General features: G+C 39.5%; 1 protein-coding gene across 2 annotated transcripts; it reads right to left on the bottom strand.

Annotated features, from left to right (window-relative positions):
• Positions 1-798: 798 nt before the first annotated feature.
• SKA1 (spindle and kinetochore associated complex subunit 1) lies at positions 799-19,921 on the bottom strand. 2 transcript variants are annotated; one of them, NM_001039535.3, is made up of 7 exons: positions 19,728-19,921; positions 19,049-19,147; positions 14,717-14,841; positions 12,741-12,838; positions 9,614-9,751; positions 3,674-3,843; positions 799-2,868 (listed from the first exon to the last, which is right to left on the bottom strand). In NM_001039535.3, the coding sequence occupies exons 2-7, from the start codon at positions 19,134-19,136 to the stop codon at positions 2,720-2,722; spliced, it is 768 nt and encodes a 255-aa protein (NP_001034624.1). In that variant the 5' UTR covers positions 19,137-19,147; positions 19,728-19,921; the 3' UTR covers positions 799-2,719. The 2 variants fall into 2 exon arrangements, with proteins under 2 accessions (NP_001034624.1, NP_659497.1); NM_145060.4 differs by having other exon boundaries at positions 19,773-19,921.
• Between the last annotated feature and the right edge of the window lie 83 nt (positions 19,922-20,004).

Genomic DNA, 20,004 nt, shown 5'->3' with positions numbered 1-20,004 from the left:
CCGTGATTCAATTATCTCCACCTGGCCCTGCCCTTGACACATAGGGATTATTACAATTCAAGGTGAGATTTGGGTAGGGGCACAGCCAAACCATATCAAAAATCAAACAATACTTAAAATAAAGAATAATGCCATTATTTTCACTTAAGTTGAGGCATGAAAAATTAAACATGCCTGTATTTAAATTAAGGAAAACAAAAGGATAACAGTAAATATGCAGCGTCTGTGTGTTCATCACAGTGATGGTGTTAACCAGGCCACAGGCTTGGTGAGACACATTTTTTCTCTGCTACAGGGACAAGCCTGCCAAGCAGATGGCACAGACATAGACAGACCAGTCTCCCCAGGTGCCTGAGAGAAACATGGCTAAGTTCTTACAATCCCATTACCCATTTTTCTTGACTATTATCAACCTACCCACACATTATTTTATCATGTTTTTCACCAACAAGGGAAAAGCCTGTTTTCTTCTATACTACATTCACATAATATTTCTGACACCAAATGTGTGGAGTTTTTTTCCCCATCCCAACCAATTTTCCAATTCTCTAGACACCAACAGAGTATCCTATATTTAATTGAATTCTGACACTAAATACCTAGAGTTGATGCAGACCCCACAGATTTAAGGGCTCAGTCCCATAAAACCATCCCCAACTTCAAACACCAGTCACAACTAGCAGGTCCCCAGGTTGCCCATACTTCTGTCCAACATGGCTACACATGGGGGTTCCCACAACCCCCTCCTCAGGTTTGATAATTTGATACGGCAATACAGAACTCAGGGAAATGCTTTACTTGTGTTTAACAGTTTATTTTAAGGCTACTACAAAGGATACAGATGAACAACAGCCACATGAAGGGGTACCTGGGGCAAGGTCCAGAAGCATCCTGAGCACAGGACTTGCTGACTTCATAAAGCTGGAGTGCGTCACCTTCCTGGCACATCAAAATGTTTGCCAACCCTGAAGCTCCCTGAACTCCATAGTTAACGGATTATGTCTTGTTGACATAGGCCTGATGGATTATTGACACAAATCTCCAGCCCCTCTCCCCTCTCTGGAGGTGGGAGACTGAAAGTTTGAAACTTCCAATCATGATGTGGTCTTTGTGAGCAGCCCCCATCCTGAGTTATCCAGGTGCCCATCAAGAGTGACCTCATTAGAACAAAAAATTCTCCTATCACTGGGAAATTTAAAGGAATTTAGGAGCTTTGTGTCAGGAACTGGGGTCAAAGACCAAATACTAGAACAAAAGATGTACTCCATCACTTTGGAAATTACAAGGGTTTTAGGAGCTCTGAACAAGGAACTAGATAGGAAGATCAAATATATATTTCTTATTATATCACATTATCACATCAACTCAATGTACATTTATTACACTTTCATTACAGGTTGAAGTTTACAGACTGGTGTACACTAAATGCATTTCAGGTAAGCTGCTCCCTAAGGACCTATACGAAAGCCCAATAATCAGATGATAAACTGTCTCCAAATCCAGCTTCCAGGAAGTTTACCTATAGACTGAAATGCCATCGATGGAATTTAGACACTAGTGATCTTTAAGTCCAAAGGGCCTGGGTATCCTAACCTCATCAGCTTGATCTTTTTCTTCCAATATCACATCTGTACCCAGTCTTTTTTTCTTTTTTTCTGAGATGGAGTCTCGCTCTGTTGCCCAGACTGGAGTGCAGTGGCACGATCTCGGCTCACTGCAACCTCCACCTCCTAGGTTCAAGCAATTCTCCTGAGTAGCTGGGACTACAGGCGCATGCCGATCTGTACCCAATCTTATTAGGGTCTGCAGCATTGTTCACTCAACACAAAAACTGGACATGAGCATTTTTTAGTTCCATTATGTGCCTAGTACAGAGGCGTATTCAGCAGGTAGTTAAATATTTGGTGAGAGGAGGTGAATCTTGAAAATATATAAGTTGGCCGGGCGCGGTGGCTCACGCCTGTAATCCCAGCACTTTGGGAGGCCGAGGTGGGCGGATCATGAGGTCAGGAGATCGAGACCATCCTGGCTAACACGGTGAAACCCCATCTCTACTAAAAATACAAAAAATTAGCTGGGCGTGGTGGCAGGTGCCTGTAGTCCCAGCTACTCAGGAGGCTGAGGCAGGAGGATGGCGTGAACCTGGGAGGCAGAGTTTGCAGTGAGCCGAGATAGCGCCGCTGCAGTCCGGCCTGGGTGAAAGAGCGAGACTGTCTCAAAAAAAAAAAAAAAGAAAAAGAAAAAAACAAGAAATAAGCTTTATCCAAAAAAGTTTTATTTTTATAAGAAACAAGAATAGGTCAGGTGTGGTGGCTCAAGCCTGTAATCCCAGCACTTTGGGAGGCTGAGGAGGGTGGATTGTTTGAGCTCAGGAGCTCAAGACCAGCCTAGGCAACATGGTGAAACCCCATCTCTCCAAAAAATACAAAAATTAGCCAGGCATGGTGGCGCACGCTTGTAGTCCCAGCCATTCAGGGGGCTGAGGTGGGAGGATCACTTGAGCCTGGGAGGTTGAGGCTGCAGTGAGCCATGTTTGCGCCACTGCACTCTAGCCTGCGTGACAAAGCAAGCCCCTGGGTGACAAAGCAAGATCCTGTCTCAAAAAAAAAAAAAAGGAAACAAAAAAGATTAAAAGTTAAAAAAATTATATATAAGAAAATTATAGAAATAGCCTCTATACTCTATACCCTGTTGGTATGTTCAAAAGTTCACAAGGGACTCAGGTTATAACATAACGAGTAAGTCCTCCCCCTCGGACCTCTGATAGCCTCCGGCAGTGTCGTAAAATATTCAGTAACACGTGAAACTTCTTGTCAGCTTTCAAAGTTGTGAACTCCTTTATGTCAGCTTCCACTATAAAATAACGACCTAAAAATAAAGATATTAGTGCTAATTTTTATAAGGCCAACTTGCAAAAGAGTCTTTAATACATTAAGTTGTGAATATGAATGGTATTAGTCGTTTTTACTGTTAGTATCCAATAAAACCAAGAACTAGTATTCTTGCTAAAATAATAATTATTCTATCAACAGAAGTTGCATGCATGATATTTATTAGGTCACTAGCTATCTGTTGGTATCGCTTGAACAATTCACTTTTCAAGAGGCAATGTGACATAGTGGTTATAAGAATAAAACCCGTAACAGTGTTATCATTTAACTGGATGACCTTGGACAAGTAAGTTAAGCTCTCTTTGCCTAGTCTACAAATTGGGAGTAATAACAGTAAGTGATACGGGTGTTGTAAGGATTGAAGCTCTTGGCACACTCTCTGCCATACAGTAAGTAGCTATATCAACAGGACTAGCTATTATCATTACTATTCAATTTCCTAAAACATTGGGCATAGTTTCACAATAGACTCTAAAGCAATGTTTCTCAGGCTCAGCACTACAGACACTGTGAGCCAGAGAATTTATTTTGTGGGTGCTATCCTGTGCACTGCCGGCTGTTATAGCAGCATCCCTGGCCTCTACCTACTAGATGCCAGGAGCACCCAGCTGTAACAACCAAAAATGTCTCCAGACATGGTAAAATGTCTCCTGGTAGGATAACTGCTCCTGGTTGGGAATTAACACTCTAGATTTAGAATTTTCTAGAACTAGCTACATTTCTCGTGATTTAGTTATACTCTGAACAGTTCACATGTACACACATATATGCTGCCATTTTACCTTTGGTATCCTTCGTTTCTTCATCAATAAATCTGTGATAGAGATTTCTGGTCACAGAATTCATAGACTTTTTTGGCTGATGTAGGATTTTATATTTACTAATTACTGCCTTGTTGATTTCTTTAATAACATCATTAATTTGATTATAGGTTAAGCGGGATTTCATGTACCTGTAAAAAAGTATATGGCTAATTATTGTTTTAAAGAATCATCATACAAAATTACTTTCCTTGAAAAACATAAGTATGATGACTTTGTACAACAGTAAAACTACAGTACCCTTTATAAAAACAATCTTATATCAACTTCCAAATAAACCAGACAGCTGAATAATTAAATAGAGATGACAACATATTGGTGCTTACCTTCTCTAATTATTAACCTCTATTGTTTACCTATGGAGAACTGATATTATAATTTTAAATAAGCTCTCAAATTCTGATTCAAATGGACTGATTAACTGCAACATATCAGTTTATTTAAACAGTTTTAAATGTGAGCAAAGGAAAAACTTAAATATTAATAAATTATACAACTTATAGCACTCTAGTGCTATACAAAAACTATTACTTGTTCAGAGAAAGAAAGAGAAAAAAAGGAGGAGGAGGAAGGGAAGATGAAGGGCAACAAAGAAGACCACAACAAAGTTGACAATGAAAATTAAGACAAAGGAGAACTGATGGGGTAGGGGATATATAGGAGTGAGTGACTGGAAGCTGCCTGGGCAGAGGAGAACCAAAGCATAGCCATGATGTTTTCTATGCCCTAGCTCAAGTTCCCTTAGAGCACTCTCTTTCACTCTGAATTCTACTCTTCAACCTCCCTCTTGTCCGTCCTCCCAGTCACCATGGAGTCTTACAATATAAAAACAGGAGACTCTCAATTTTGAATGTTTTGAACACACCAAAAACAAAACTTGATGATCTGCTTCAATTTGTCTCTTCAACAAATTGTAAGTTCAGTAGGTTAAGCTCTGTCCTTCATTTCTATTCAAAGTAGCAGCTTTCTAGTCAAAACTTCCTTGATACAATGATATGGAAGTTTATTTAAAAGAAAATGTTCATATTTCCAAAAAAACACTCATTTTCATTATTCCTCTCTTTTCTAAATTCATTTTTGCTGTCCTGTTTTTTCTAACCACAATTTCTACAAACTCTTATACCCCAGCTCTCCACAATGCACTTATGTATTCCTTCAAATCTTCTCAACTACCACCTTGATTTCCTCAATAGTCATCCCTAATCTCCTTCAATGTTTTCCACTTTAACTCTACTCTCAGCACCATTTGTTTTAAAGTAAATAAAAACTCTATGCTTGGAAAACATGATTTTTTCACCCTAATCTTCTAACTTCATTTCTCATTCATTAAATAACCCCTAGTTGAAAAATGAATACTCTACCATGACCATTCTAATTTCCTTCCAATAGCTCTTTATGGAAGCATTTTCCAAAAATCCTCTACTCCACTGTTCCTCACAGCCACATTAGCTCTTCACATTAGCTCAGCCAATGAGCAACAATAACAAAGATCAAAGCTGAATAGCATCAGAGCATCAAACAGTTTTCATGAAAATAAAGCTGTCAATAAAGGAAATGACTGCTAGTGTGGTGGCTCACACCTGTAATCTCAGCACTTTGGGAGGCCGAGGCAGGTGGATCACTTGAGGTCAGGAGTTTGAGACCAGCCTGGCCAACATGGCTGAAACCCCATCTCTACTAAAAGTAGAAAAATTAGCTGGGTGTGGTGGCACACGCCTGTGGTCCCAGCTACTTGGGAGGCTGAACCATGAGAATTGCTTGAGCCCAGGAGGCAGAGGTTGCAGTGAGCCGAGATCATGCCACTGCACTCCAGCCTGTGGGACAGAGTGAGACTGTCTCAAAAACAAAAAAAGTAAAAAAAAAAAAAAAAAAAAAAAAAGAAAGGTAAAGGAAATGACAAAATGACCCTCTCCCCCCCAGAAAAAGACTAAAGAGCAATGTCAACGTCATCACTAGTCTTGGAGTTGTGAAAGAGCCAGGTATTTTTCAAGTGGCTAATTGGTAGCAATTTTTAAGTAGGAGGTAACACTAGCAGGTGTGAGATTAGGTTGGGCTTTCTCACACACTACCAACAGGAGTAAAAACTGGTATGTAGCACTCTGACGTGTCAAGAGCTTGGAAACTGTCACTCCCATCCTCACAACAGGAGCAAACTGAAAGCTGGTAACTCTTTTCAGAGAATTGAGGTCACAGGGCCAAACACTGCCCCCAAAACAGGAGAGACAAACAAATGCAGAGAATGACAGCTTCCTAGGGACAGAAGCCACTGGAGTGAGTAACTGTAGGAACATTTAAATAGTAACGGACAAACTGCTAAGGCTCAGTTTGAACTAGCTTGAGAGTTAAAAACTCCTGGGGATCCAGTTTAGGGAGCCCCCCCATACTTCCATGAGTTTTACTTCCAGGAACCACCCCTGCCTTCCCCCCAAGTTTTTAAAATGAAGATCAGAGAAAAATTCTCTTGAGCATCAGCAAGAGGAAGGAAAAAGTAATTATTTTGAAATAGGCCAAGGAAAAGTAGAGCAGTTCTGTTATCCAAAACAAAGACCTGCCCTCAAGGAAAACTACTTGACCAGAACCTTATCTGACCTAGGGGAAGGGTAGTTAGATGATTTCAGCCCCGTCTAGCTAAGAAACACCTTAGAAGGTCACAGGCCAGAGATGCAGTACCCCTAAAAAGCCTGAGATTTAATCATAAGATTATAGAATGCTTCTCCTCTCCAACACCTTACCACCACTACAACAAGGTTACAGGAACGTATTAGTGAACTAACACTTAGCAAGCTACAAGACACAGAATCTATTAAGAAAAAATTTCTAAGGAAACCCAAAGACAACAGAGGAGACAAAAGAAATGGGAACTAGGGCCAGGCACAGTGGCTCATGCCTGTAATCCCAGCACTTTGGGAGGCTGAGGCGGGTGGATCACGAGGTCAGGAGATGGAGACCATCCTGGCTAACATGGTGAAACCCCGTCTCTACTAAAAATACAAAAAATTAGCCTGGCATGGTGGCGGCGGGCGCCTGTAGTCCTAGCTACTCTGGAGGCTGAGGCAGGAGAATGGCGTGAACCTGGGAGGCGGAGCTTGCAGTGAGCTGAGATCGTGCCAATGCACTCCAGCCTGGGCGACAGAGCAAGACTCCATCTCAAAAACAAAACAAATCAAAACAAACAAAAGAAATGGGAACTAGAAGAAATTGAAGCTTCTGACATTTACAACCGTAGCAACCATTAAACATAGCCCAGCTCCTAGACGTATCAACATAAAATCTCACACTAAAAGCCTATTTACTTCAGTTCCTATTATCCAGACACATCTTGTCCAGCTTTTAACAAAAATTACTAGGCATAAGATAAAAATACAGGCTGAGAGCATCACAAGCATCAGAAGCAGATTGAGAAATGACAGAGATTTTGGAAGTATCAAACCACTAACTCAAATAACTATGTTTAATATGCTAAGGACTCTAATGGAAAAAGGATAAAATGCAAGAATAGACAGACAAAGCAGAGATGGAAATTCTACAGAAGAATCAAAAGGAAATGCTAGAAATAAAGAACTCTAACAGAAATGAAGAATGCCTTTGATGGGCTCCATCAGCAGACTAGACTCAGCTAAAGAAAGAATCAGCGAACTTGAAGATACATCAATAGATAACGTCAATAGATACTTCCCAAACTAAAATGCAAAGAGAAATACAAAAAAGAACAGAAAACCCAAGAACTGTGAGGCAATCAAAAAAAGTATAACATACAGGTAATGAGACTACTAGAGGAGAGGAAGAAAGATATGCAAAGAACTCTTAAAATTCAATGACAAGAAAACAAACAACCCACTTTAAAAACAGGCTCAAGACCTGAACAGATATCTCATCAAAGAAGATATGCAAATGGAAAATAAGTATATCAATATGAAAAGATGCTCAGTGCTTCCTTCGATAGCTCAGCTGGTAGAGCAGAGGACTGCAGTACTTGCTGAAAAGATGCTCAATGTCAAATGTCACTAGGGAATTGTAAAGTAAAATAATTAGATACCACTATACACCTATTAGAGTGGCTAAAATCCAGAACACTGACAATACCAAATGATAAAGAGTATGTGGAGCAAGAGGAATGTTCTGTCATTGCTGGTGGGAATGCAAAATGGTATAGCCATTGGCAGGTTTTTACAAAACTGAACATACTCTTACGTGACTCAGCAGTTACACTCCTAAGTATTTACCCAAATGAGTTGAAAACTTATGTCTACACGAAACCTGCACATGAACGTTTTTAGCGCTTTATTCATAGTTGCACCAAACTGGAAGGAACTAAGATTGCTTCAATAGGTGAATGAATAAACAAACCAATACATCCATACAATGGAGTACTATTTAGTGTTAAAAAGAAATGAGCTATCAAACCACAAAAAGGTACAAGGGATCATAAATCCTTATTTCTAAGTAAAAGAAGCCAGTCAGAGAAGGCTACATACTGTATGACTCTAACCATATAACATTCTGGGGTTCAGTGGGAGATAGAAAGAGGTGGGATACAAGGCACTTTTAGGACAGTGAAACTTTTTAGGATAGTGAAATTCTTCTGTATGATACCGTAATGGTAGACACATGACATTATACGTTTGTCAAAACCCATAGATGGTACAACACAGAATAAATCCTAACATAGACTAAGGATGGTAGTTAATAGTAATGTATCAATATTGGTTTGACAACTGTAACAGATATGTCATACCAATGCTCTATTACTAGGGAAAACTGTGTGCAGGGGAGAAGCGGTATGAGAACACTGTACTATCTGCTCAATTTTTCTGTAAATCTAACAAAGGTTCTAAGAAATATACTTTATTAAATAAAACAACAACCAAAATGAACTGGTATGAAAAACTCTCTAGAAGCAAAATAATCATGATCTTTGCCTCAGGGACTCTCCTCCTAAGACTATCCCAAGGAAATAAAAAAATTGCAAAACAGCCTTGTCTAAAAGATATTTCATTGTACCATTATTTATAACAATAAAGTCAACCCAAATATGTAATGAGGAAATGCTACAAGTTATTGGATAGCTATATATTATATGACTATTAATGATAGAAAAATTATCACAATAAAAGGATAGTAAGTTGTATTTACAGTATAACTACATTGCTATAATAACAGGTATAAGAAATACCTGTTACATATGTATAGTCAAATAAAATCTGGAAAGCTATACCCTATCTTATCTAATGGTAGAATTACAGATGAGTTTTACTTTCTGACAACAAACACTTTCTAGTAACATGTATTATTCGTATAATAAAAAGGTAACAAGAAATGTAACATAACATGAAGCTTAGAAGTTTAGCAAAGCCCTGGAATTATGAGTTTAAAAATGTCGATTTTCATCATTGGTTCCCCATTATTGCCATATGTAAAAGGCAAGGGAGACCCGCCCCCCTCTTTGGGGGAAGCATTTTGTCTTATTCATTCCTCTATTCTGAGTGACCCAGGGCCTGGAATATAGCACAGGCTCAAACAAGTGCGGGGTGCAATGCACAAACGGAAACCAAACACAACACTGTCCATTCTCATTCTCAATTCTACACAACACACTCGATTTCCTTAAAATTACCACAAAACTGAGGCTACTTCTATAATATGATTGGTAAATCTGTAACACAAAAAGGTCCAACAGAGGACTTAAGCAATGAATTGATCCATCTCTAGATCTCTCTATGAAGGGGTTTTACAACAAAAATCTTCAAAAAATTTACTGCATTTTCATAGTATAATGTGAAACTTTTTTAAAAGATCAATATTTGAACATAGCATATTACAATTAATATAATTAAGCTTTATTATTTAAACGATCATTTATGTTTATTAAGGGGTTGAACATTATTTATCTTAAATACTTACGAAGGAACACCATTGAACTCATCACAAGTTATAAATGGCATTTCCTTAATACTTCTTTGCTCTTTGGGAGGCTTCTTTACGGGTTCAGGTTCTTCAACTTTGATTGGTTCTTCAGGATCAAGATCTGATCCCTTAACACTACAGAATACAGATGTACATACATACAGGCAATTTTCAGAAATAAGCAGCATACTGACAGTTTTCCCAACTGAAAATAATATTAAATACGTAACTCATCCTGTTATAATCTTATTGCCAACATTTTTTTCTATCCCTATGTCTATTGTTCATGAACATTAAACGGTGAAGGAAATGTTGAAAAATTAAGTTCCCAAATCTTCAGTAATATAGCTACATTTATTTACGTGTAACATGATATCTTCATCAGTTGTCCCACCAGCTCCTCAAAGTCAGTAAGTTAACAGCTTTACGGCTTAATAGCTTCTCTTTTTTTTTTTTTTCCTTTTTTTTTTTTTTTTTTTAATTTTTTTTTTTTTATTATACTCTAAGTTTTAGGGTACATGTGCACATTGTGCAGGTTAGTTACATATGTATACATGTGCCATGCTGGTGCGCTGCACCCACTAACGTGTCATCTAGCATTAGGTATATCTCCCAATGCTATCCCTCCCCCCTCCCCCGACCCCACCACAGTCCCCAGAGTGTGATATTCCCCTTCCTGTGTCCATGTGATCTCATTGTTCTAACCCCTTAACAGCTTGTCTTCCTGACGTCCCTAACTCTGAATCTGGAAACATCAGTTATCTTAGACTTCTATTTATTCTAATTTATCCTGATGGTTGCTCATGTCAGTCCCTGTGTATTGCGGAGTCATTTTAGTTGCCAGCAATGATCATGGGTCACCCCTGGATTCAATCTGCCCAATTTTTACAGCGAGTGAGAAGCCGACTAATATAGCTCCTGTCCCACTAGCAACAAAGTCTAGAAACACACTATAGCTTCTAGGTTCCTTAACTGCCAGGGATGTTGCCAGCAGCAAGTCAAGACATAGGAAAGACGACACCAGATATAAGAAACAGTAGGGGGCTGCTATAACTACACATAATAACAAGTATAAGAAATACCTGTAATATTTCTTATACCTGTTATTATGTGTAGTTAAGTAAAATCTGGAAAGCTATACCCTATCTTATCTGAATGGTAAATTACAGATGAGTTTTATTTTCTGACAACAAACACTTTCTAGCAACATGTATTATTTGTATAATAAAAAGGTAACAAGAAATGTAACATAATATAAAGCTTAGAAGTTAAGCAAAGCCCTGGAATTATGAGTGGGAGGATGGCCTCAGGAGCAAGCCAAGGGAATCCCCAGAAAGGCAGGAAGCAAGATCCCAAGATGACAGTCAAATGCCAGACACAGATGGCAACCAGCCTCACTGAGGTGGTGTGACTCGGCCACGCTGCACGCTGTCAAGATAAAGATGCCCAATGCATGATAATCCTTCTGTGAATCCTAACATATGAGATTCCACTGTGAGACTGGCTGAATCGTACCTGTACTTGTTTGTCTTGACCATGTGTTGAGGAAGCACCTGATTGGCTCCCTTATGCCCTGCTGTGTTTATCAGCTGAAAATAACCATTTTCAACTACAGAAAGGTTCTGCTCTCACCTATCCCTGAGAGTTGAGGCTAGGCCATAGTCAGCTTAGAAGAAAATTCCTCCTATTCCCCTGATCAAATTCTTACTGGATGTCCAATGACAGGTAATGGCTGAGAAAGAGCAAGACAGGATAAAGATGCCAAGTCCTCACCGAGGTGATGGGAGGATATGTGGGGAACAAGAGAAACAAGAGAGCCAGGTCTTCAAGATGGAAAATTTGAGGAGAAAATAGCAGGCCATTAAATCGCTGGAACTAGATGTCATATCAAGGCTAGAGCTGGACATTTGAGAGCATTAACAGTGGAGTTGGGTAAGAATGAGTAAAGCAGGTAGGAGAGATCTATAATTTAAAAAAGGGGAGAGAAAAAGGAGGCAGCCAAGTCAGAGAAGTGGGCTGACAACTAAGAAAGCACAGTGGCAGGGCAGAAAACAGAATTTCAAAAACAAAAAGGTGGTATGCAAAATGAAATCTTAGAAGTAGAACCAGGGCTGACGAGGGATTTTTGACCTCTTCATGACCTTCAACCACCCTAGGTGTGGTGGCAATGACAGCCAAAAGCCAGGTGTTAGGGCCTCGGGGAAAAAGCAGAAGCACAGACACACCTTGTAAGGGGGAAGAGAGAGAGGATGGACATTTGAGGGGAAAAAAGAGCTAAGCTTATTGTTCCTTTGGCTTTTATTTATTTATTTATTTTGAGGCAGGGTCTTACTCTGTCGCCCAGCCTGGAGTGCAGTAGCACCATCAGGGCTCACCGCAGCCTTGACCTGCCAGACTCAAGCAATCCTCCCGCCTCAGCTCCCTGAGTAGCTGGGACTACAGGGGTGTGCCACTGTGTCTGGCTAATTTTTTGTATTTTTAGCAGAGATGGGGTTTCACCATGTTGCCCAGGCTAGTCTCAAACTCCTGGGCTCAAGCAATCTGCCTGCCTTGGCTTCCCAAAATGCTAGGATTATAGGCGTGAGCCACTGTGCCCAGCCTCTTTAGCTATTTTTAAAATGGTAACTTCCTTAAGCTTATTTTTACCCAAAGGCAGTGGTTCTCAATGGTCGGGGAAGATTTTGCCCTCAGAGGCATTTGGCAATGTCTGGAGACATTTTTCATTGTCGTGAATGGGTGGGATGGAGGGATGCTACCAGAATCTAGTAGGCAGAGATCAAGAACACTACTCAATGTCCTATTCTCATAACAAAAAATTAACCTGCCTAAAATGTCAAGGAACAAACGTCAGTTGACAAACTGCTCTCAGGGAAAGAAATGAGTGAAAAAAGAGAGGCTAGAGAGACTTGCCCTTGGCAAACTGGGAAAGAAGTGTTAGATTTTCCTCAGAGACACCAAGATAAGAAAACTGGTGAACATGGAAATACTGTTTTTAGTATAGGTGACAAAAAACTAGATCATCGCTGACAAAACTGCAAGTATATGAAAGAACAAAAGGCTTTGAAGAACTTGTTTTCATGGGTTTATAAATCCAGATAGCAAGAATAATTATAAATACACTTACCAGCTCTGGGTTACTGTTACTTGAGGCAAATGGGAAGGAACGTTTTCTTTAAGATGTTCTATGTCTTTGTAATCTTCTTCAAGAGATTCACAGAGTTCCTAAAATTTAAAAGTGCTCACAAATAAGTCTCTGTCCTCCCCATGTGTGTTTTAAGATATTCTAAAGAGCAGGGAAAACAGTGAACCATAATCACAGTGACTGTGGCTGGACGCGGTGGCTCATGCCTGTAATCCCAGCACCTTGGGAGGCTAAGGCGGGTGGATCATGAGGTCAGGAGATCGAGACCATCCCCACTAACACTGTGAAACCCCATCTCTACTAAAAATACAAAAATTTAGCCGGGCGTGGTGGCACGCGCCTATAGTCCCAGCTACTCAGGAGGCTGAGGGGGGAGAACTGCTTGAACCTGGGAGGAGGAGGCTGCAGTGAGCTGAGATCGCGCCACTGCACTCCAGCCTGGGCGACAGAGAAAGGCTCGTCTCAAAAAAAAAAAAAAAAAAAAACCACATTGACTGGAGTACCGAAAATGCAGAATGAAGTGAAAAAGCAATGAATCCAGCAATAAAAAATTGGTTTCTAGAGCTGTTTTTGGATGGTGGTAATATTTTTCTCTACTGGATTTTTTTCAGGGAACAATCACTATAATCACATTGCAATTACAAAGCAGGACTAAAGTTAAGTCTTTCTCAAATACTTTAATCTTGGGAGATAACTAAGAAATATATAAAGAACTTATGTTTTTCATTCTCATAAATTGCGTTTGTTGGCTTACCAAATGCTCCCCAGTGTTACCTGTGTAACAGCAACCATATTATCACAGCATGGTAATATACCCAGCTGGCAAGCATGAGATGCTGCTTTAGGATGACTTCCACTGTGGGCTACCTACATGCCAGCTTAATGAAAATTTCTACTTGAAAGCTGGGGTGTTTTGGTCTCTAACTTTTACTAGAACTTGAGGCTATGAACTCATACACATTTTAATAAGGAAAATATTTTGTGCCTTTGGATTCCCGCCATCTGGCTCCCAATCACAATGTGAACAGAAATTCCAAATAGCCTTCAGTTCTGAGTTGAGCATTCTCTAGGCCCACACCTAACCCTGGACATTCTTGGGCAGGTTAGAACTGAAATGCCGGTATTGGTTTCTGTTTTGAATTTATATAATGTCTTTTCCTTGAAGAGGTGAATGACATTCATGGATACCAATTCCATTTTGACTATTAGAGTGATAGGCATAATCATGCCCATTCCTATAGCTGAACAATCTTTACAGACTTTAAGGATTATAAGGCTGAATGGGGTCAGGGAGGTCCCTTGTTCAATCCCACTGAGCAATTCCCCAGCTCTAACAATGTGAGGTAATTATGGTACAGATTATTTCCCCCTCAGGAAGTGCACCAGCACTTTTATTAGCTGAACTCAATTTGAAGGCTTGTTTAGAATAAAATGTGCATGTGAATGAGGCTCAAGTTTTTCTTTACCTGAGAACCCTTATATTACCTTTTATAAAAATATAGAAATATAGACATATAAGGGAGCTAAGAAACAGTTCAATATGATCCATTATTTTTTCAGATGAGGTTCTTGAAACCCCAACAGGTAAAATAGCTTTCTCAGGGTGGCAGAGAGTACCAAGGACCACCAAGGTAAGAATCCATATCTCCTCACCCAAAGCAGGTGTTCTTTACATACCACTCTACTAGAACATCATTGTTTAAATTAAAGCTACCAAGAATTATTAGCAAACTCTCCTTTTTAGTAAAGTTCAATTCCACTGGCCATCAGCAGAAAGTAGCAGCTGTGGAGCTCCAAATTCCACTATACTAGGAAAATAAAACATAAATGGCATACTGTACCATTAATAATTTATAAACAAAAAACATTATAAACAAAGCATCCTTAAAAATTACTTAATGATTAGGGAGTTTGTATGTATTGTCTTTTTTACTGCTTCCTCATTAGAGAAACATTACCTTGAGTGAATTGTTGGTTTGTTCTTGATACTGAATTTCCAATTCCAATTTATTTAGAAGTTCATTTATTACAATGATCTCATCTCCTATTTTATTTAATACAGTTTTCAAGGTAGGTTCCTGGCCTGTTATAAACAAAAATAAAATAGAAAACAAAGTGTATAGAAAAGCAGTAGCTATAAGTACTCATGCGAACTCTTAGAATAGATAGCTGTACCTTAGAGAGGGGTGGAAAAAGGTCTACTGCTTTAGCCCCTAGAAAATGACTCCATGGACAATCCTGAAACCTCATTTCTAAGTAGTATGGAACAGAAGGAGGCGAGAGGCAAGGACAATGTCTCTCCTGCGTCTTTTGTTTCTGGCAAATTCTTCCACTTATTAAAACACTTAGAAATGCGAGGTAAAACAAGCATCCTTCTACGTCCACAGCTAAGCTTTCATGAGAAAAAGGCAAATTTCCAGGGGTTCCAATATGAAGAGGGAACTGTGGTTCCCCCTCATACCAGGCAGGGTGTGTGAGCTGAGGCTGCAGCAGCCCTAATCTGAGGAGTGTGGAGCAATGCTGGACAGGAGGTTGTCAATCTCAGCAATTGAATATATTTGATTTTAATAGGGATAAGATCCAAGGTTTTGGGGCTTTAAAACACAGGGTGTTGGAAGTGAGAATCTCAAACGAGGCTAGGACTCTTCTTTATGAATATATTTTCAGTGAAAGTTGTAATCACTCACCAGAGAAATAAGCTTATGTTTTAGACAGGCCCTTCAGTGTGTGTGTGGAAGGGGTGGGAGTGAGGTTGAGGTGAAACTCTCTTTCAGAATTTGTAATATGGATTTGGAATTCATATTAACACTATCCACACTATTCAAAACCACCCCTAAGCAGACAAAGTAACATAAAAAGTCACAAGCTGGTGATAACCCTGGGTACCTGGCAAAAACAAACATAAGACATTTATAAAGTAGTATATTCTCATGGTCCCAATCCCACCTCCTAGCACCCCTCTCTAGGTGAGAAAATCAGAGTCCCTTCCTCCCTAGAAATAAAAGAAGTAGTTTTTTAAAAAATTTAAGGGCAGATTAAAAGCACAGAAGAAAAACTACCTTCATAATTGAAGCTTCCCATCTGCATTTCCAGCTATCTAACAATGACATACACATAAGTAAAAGCAGACTTTGGCAATATGTGTAGATTAAGGAGGCAGTAGAGTGAACCAGGTAGAAGGCCTGAAGTCAGAGACACCAAGTACCTACCTCATTACTGTGAAGATAGGTGAAAGTACATATAAGATGGGCTTAGCCCTGCATGTAGAACGTAATACTCAGTAAATGCTAACTGCCATTCATCATCATCATGAGTATATCATTCTATCTAATAGAGCAACACTACTTGCATTTGACACTCAGCTCATAACAAGTAAAACTAATTAATAAGTAAATGAGAGTACTGATGTCTCTGAGAATAATTTCAGTAGAATTAGTTGAACACAGTATTTCTTCCCCATACACTGGTATCTCAACTTTTAGTCACCTAAATTTTAGGGTGTTGTTTACCACTTTTTTTTTTTTTTTTTTTTTTGAGACAGGGTCTTTCTCTGTCACCCAGGCTGGAGTTCAGTGGCACCATCGGAGCTCACTGCAGCCTCAACCTACCAGGCTCAAGCAATCCTCCTGCCTCAGCCTCCTGAATAGCTGGGACTACAGGTAAACGCCACCACACCTGGCTCATTTTTTATTTTGTGTAGAGACAGGGTCTTACTATGTTACTAGGCTGGTCTCAAACTCCTAAGCTCAAGCGATCCGCCTGCCTTGGCCTCCCAAAGTGCTGGGATTACAGGTGTGTGTCTGGTCACTGTTTTTTATGTAGTAATCTAGTCAGTTACAGAAGCCAAAGTAGCAAACAAACTACCAGACTTTATTTTATAGGCTATGGAGCCACACAAATTATTATCCCCCCATACAAAATGACAGTTGACAACTGTGTAAGGATCTCATGGGTCTGACTGCTTCAGCCAGGCCTATGCTTTGGTGGGTCATGTGAATTCAAGGCTTGATAGTTGTATAGATCTCCAAATTATATTTGTTTATCCATGACTAATCATAACCTCAGAAAGTGAATTTAAACAAGACTCATTATTAAACATCTAAAAGTCTTTTACAAATTACTTCAATAAAAATGGCAACAAAATAGAAAGAGTACTAACATGGGAATCAAGAAACAGAAACTGTCGCCCAACCAAGTACTCATGAGCTGAGGGACCTGGGCCAGCCACCTGACTTCCGAGAGTCTCAGTTTCCTCAGGTGTGAGGTCAGGGGGCTCCTTAAGATGAACCCAGTCCCTTTAGCTTTAACTTTCCAGAGTATGTGAACCATAAACTGTAAAATGTATGAGGCTCCTTTATTAGTAGTTATCAATACAGGACTGAGAATATCAACGTCCCTGAGAGGGGAGGTATAATTCGAAATGGCCTATCTAACATTATAATTTCATATTTGAGAAAGTTTTCAAACTACCAATTCATAATACAAACTACAATACAAGTTCAACACAACCTTCCCAGCACATGGAATTCTGTCTGCCAATAAACCGTTACCCTCCCAGATAAGGTTAGGGAGTATGTAATTCTTTAGACATTTTAGATTTGACAAGGATCATCTGTTTCTCTGAACTTTCATTGCATCATCCAATTTCAGCACGTCAAAATATTTTCAAATATACTTAAAATCTCCAAGTTCATGGATGCTTAAATAATTTATTTCATTTTCAATTAGTTATTTCCCAGTGATATAGAGTAATAAGCTTCCTCCAAAGCAGGCTCTAAGATGGGTTATGAACTACTTTTACCCCTATGGAGCTCTACATCAGTTTTTTTAACTTGCCTTTTAATAATGTGCCACATAACAGTGATTCAGTCAACAATGGACCATAAATATGACAGTGGCCCCATAAGATTATAACGGAGCTGAAACATTCCTATTGCCTTGTGACATCGGAGCCATCATAACATCATGGTACAATGCATTATTCACATGTTTGTGGTGATGCTGGTGTAAACAAACTCTAATGCCAGTATTACAAAAGTACAGCACATACAATTATGTATAGTACATAATAATTGATAATAAATGGTTACTAGTTTATGTTATTTACTATACAATACTTTGTATTGTTATTTTAGAGTGTACTCCTTCTACCTATTAAAAAAAAAAAGTTAACTGTAAAACAGCCTCAGGCAGATCCCTCAGGAGATATTCCAGAAGGCATTGTTATCACAGATGACTGCTCCATGTGTGGTACTGCCCCGATGACCTTCTAGTGGAACAAGATGTGAATGTGGAAGACAGATGTTGATGATCCTGACCCTGCATAGGCCTAGGCTAATGTGTGTGTGTGTGTGTATTCGTTTTTGACAAAAAAATTTTAAAAAGTTAAAAAAAAATAGAAAAAAAGCTCATAAAGATATAAAAATATTTTTGTACACCTGTACAATGTATTTGTTTTAAGCTATTAGAAAAGAATAAAAAAGCTAAGCCAAACTAAGAAGTTTATTAAGTAAAAAAGTTATAGTAAGCTAAGGTTAATGTATTATTGAAGAAAGTTTTTCATTTTTTATAAATTTAGTGTAGCATAAGTGTATAGTACTTATAAAGCCTACAGTAGTATACAGTGATGTCCTAGGCCCTCACAGTCACTGTCTCACCCACAGCAACTTCCAGTTCTGCAAGCTCCATCAATGGTAAGTGGCCTATACAGGTGTTCCATTTTTAATCTTTTACTGTATCTTTTCTATGTTTAGATACACAAATACTCACCATTGTGTTACACTTGCCTAAGGTATTCAGTACAGTCACATGCTATACGGGTTTGTTGCCTAGGAGCAATAGGCTATATAGCCTAGATATGTAGTAGGCTATACCATCTAGGTTTGTGTACATTTACGTACATTCTATGATGTGATGTTTGCACAACGACAAAATCATGTAACGCTTTTGTCAGAACACATCTCCATCATTAAGGAACGCATGACTGTATCTCTATTTAGCTGTAGAACCATGGATGCCACATAACCTTCAAATCTCACCATTGGCCTATGTGTCTCAGAAAAACATAAGTAAATAATTCTAATGAATATTCAGTTCATTGTTCAATGTACCTTACATTTTTAGTATCCTCCACAATATTCAAAATGACATTGGACTATTTAAAAAATCGTTATGCAAAAATCTAAAATTACCTAAGATGCAGTCACTTAACCAAGCAAAGATATCATTCAGAGTGGAATAATCAAAATGCATTTTGTATATACAAAGTCAGTGGAATCTGTTTTACTTACCACAGTTTCTTAATGATAAGGTTTTCTTAATATTGCCAATCTTTTCATTAACATGAGAGCATAATTGTTCCAGATCTGACGAGGCCATCCTTTAAGCCTCTGAAGAAAAAAACATAAACATATTCGTAACAAGAAAAGCCACACAAATTTCTGTTCACTTTCGAAATCCAAGAATGGTCAATGTCAAGTAAATCACATGTCTTTGAAGGTTAAGCACAAAAATTCAAGAGCAATTTCTTTCATTTCTACAACATTCAGTTTCTAACCACGGTACCGTACTGACTTGTCTTAGAGCCTTAGGCCATCGATGGATCCCAAACCAGGGGAAAGAGGATAAGCCTGGGTCCTTTCCTTAAGGATTCAGGAGGACAAACGCACTATTTGTATATAAAGACAACATTGGTATTTTCTTTAAACACGCAAAATAAGGACACATTTTTTAAAAATGTGTTACACTGTCAAAGAAATGGGCCCAGGTAATCATTTTTCCTGTGCTGTGAGGGGTTGGGGCTTTACAGTTTGGGATCGGTAAGGAGGCCGAGAAATGGGAAAGAACCAGTTTCCCACCCACTCCGCCGGTGAGAGAGAAGGGGAGGGTCTAAAGCATCCAACCCAGCCTCCAGCCCCGTCCTCCCCCAAGCCCGGCGCGGTCCGCGGCCCCCAGCTGCCAAGCAGCTACCTCGGGCGCTTCCAAAGGCAGGGTCCCCAACACACAGACTCCAACCTCAAGTCCGTCCGGGAGCAAAAGGCTACTCGCCGCTGGGTCTCCAGCTGCGGATACCGCAGTCTCCGTTGGAAGCCCAGGATGGTGAGACGGGACTCTGTAAGCAAAATTCAAACCGCCCGCCGCGCCCTAGCGCAGCGCAGGCGCACATCCATGCTTCCGAAGCGCAGGCTCAGCCGCTGTTCCCGGTTTGCGTCATCCGGGGCCACAGCTGGGCGGGAAGGAGGGGTGG

This window comes from Homo sapiens, chromosome 18 (assembly GCF_000001405.40).
Source record: "Homo sapiens chromosome 18, GRCh38.p14 Primary Assembly".
Lineage (NCBI taxonomy): Eukaryota > Metazoa > Chordata > Mammalia > Primates > Hominidae > Homo > Homo sapiens.
The sequence above is the reverse complement of the archived record's forward strand: the minus strand, read 5'-3'. Positions and strand labels throughout refer to the sequence as shown.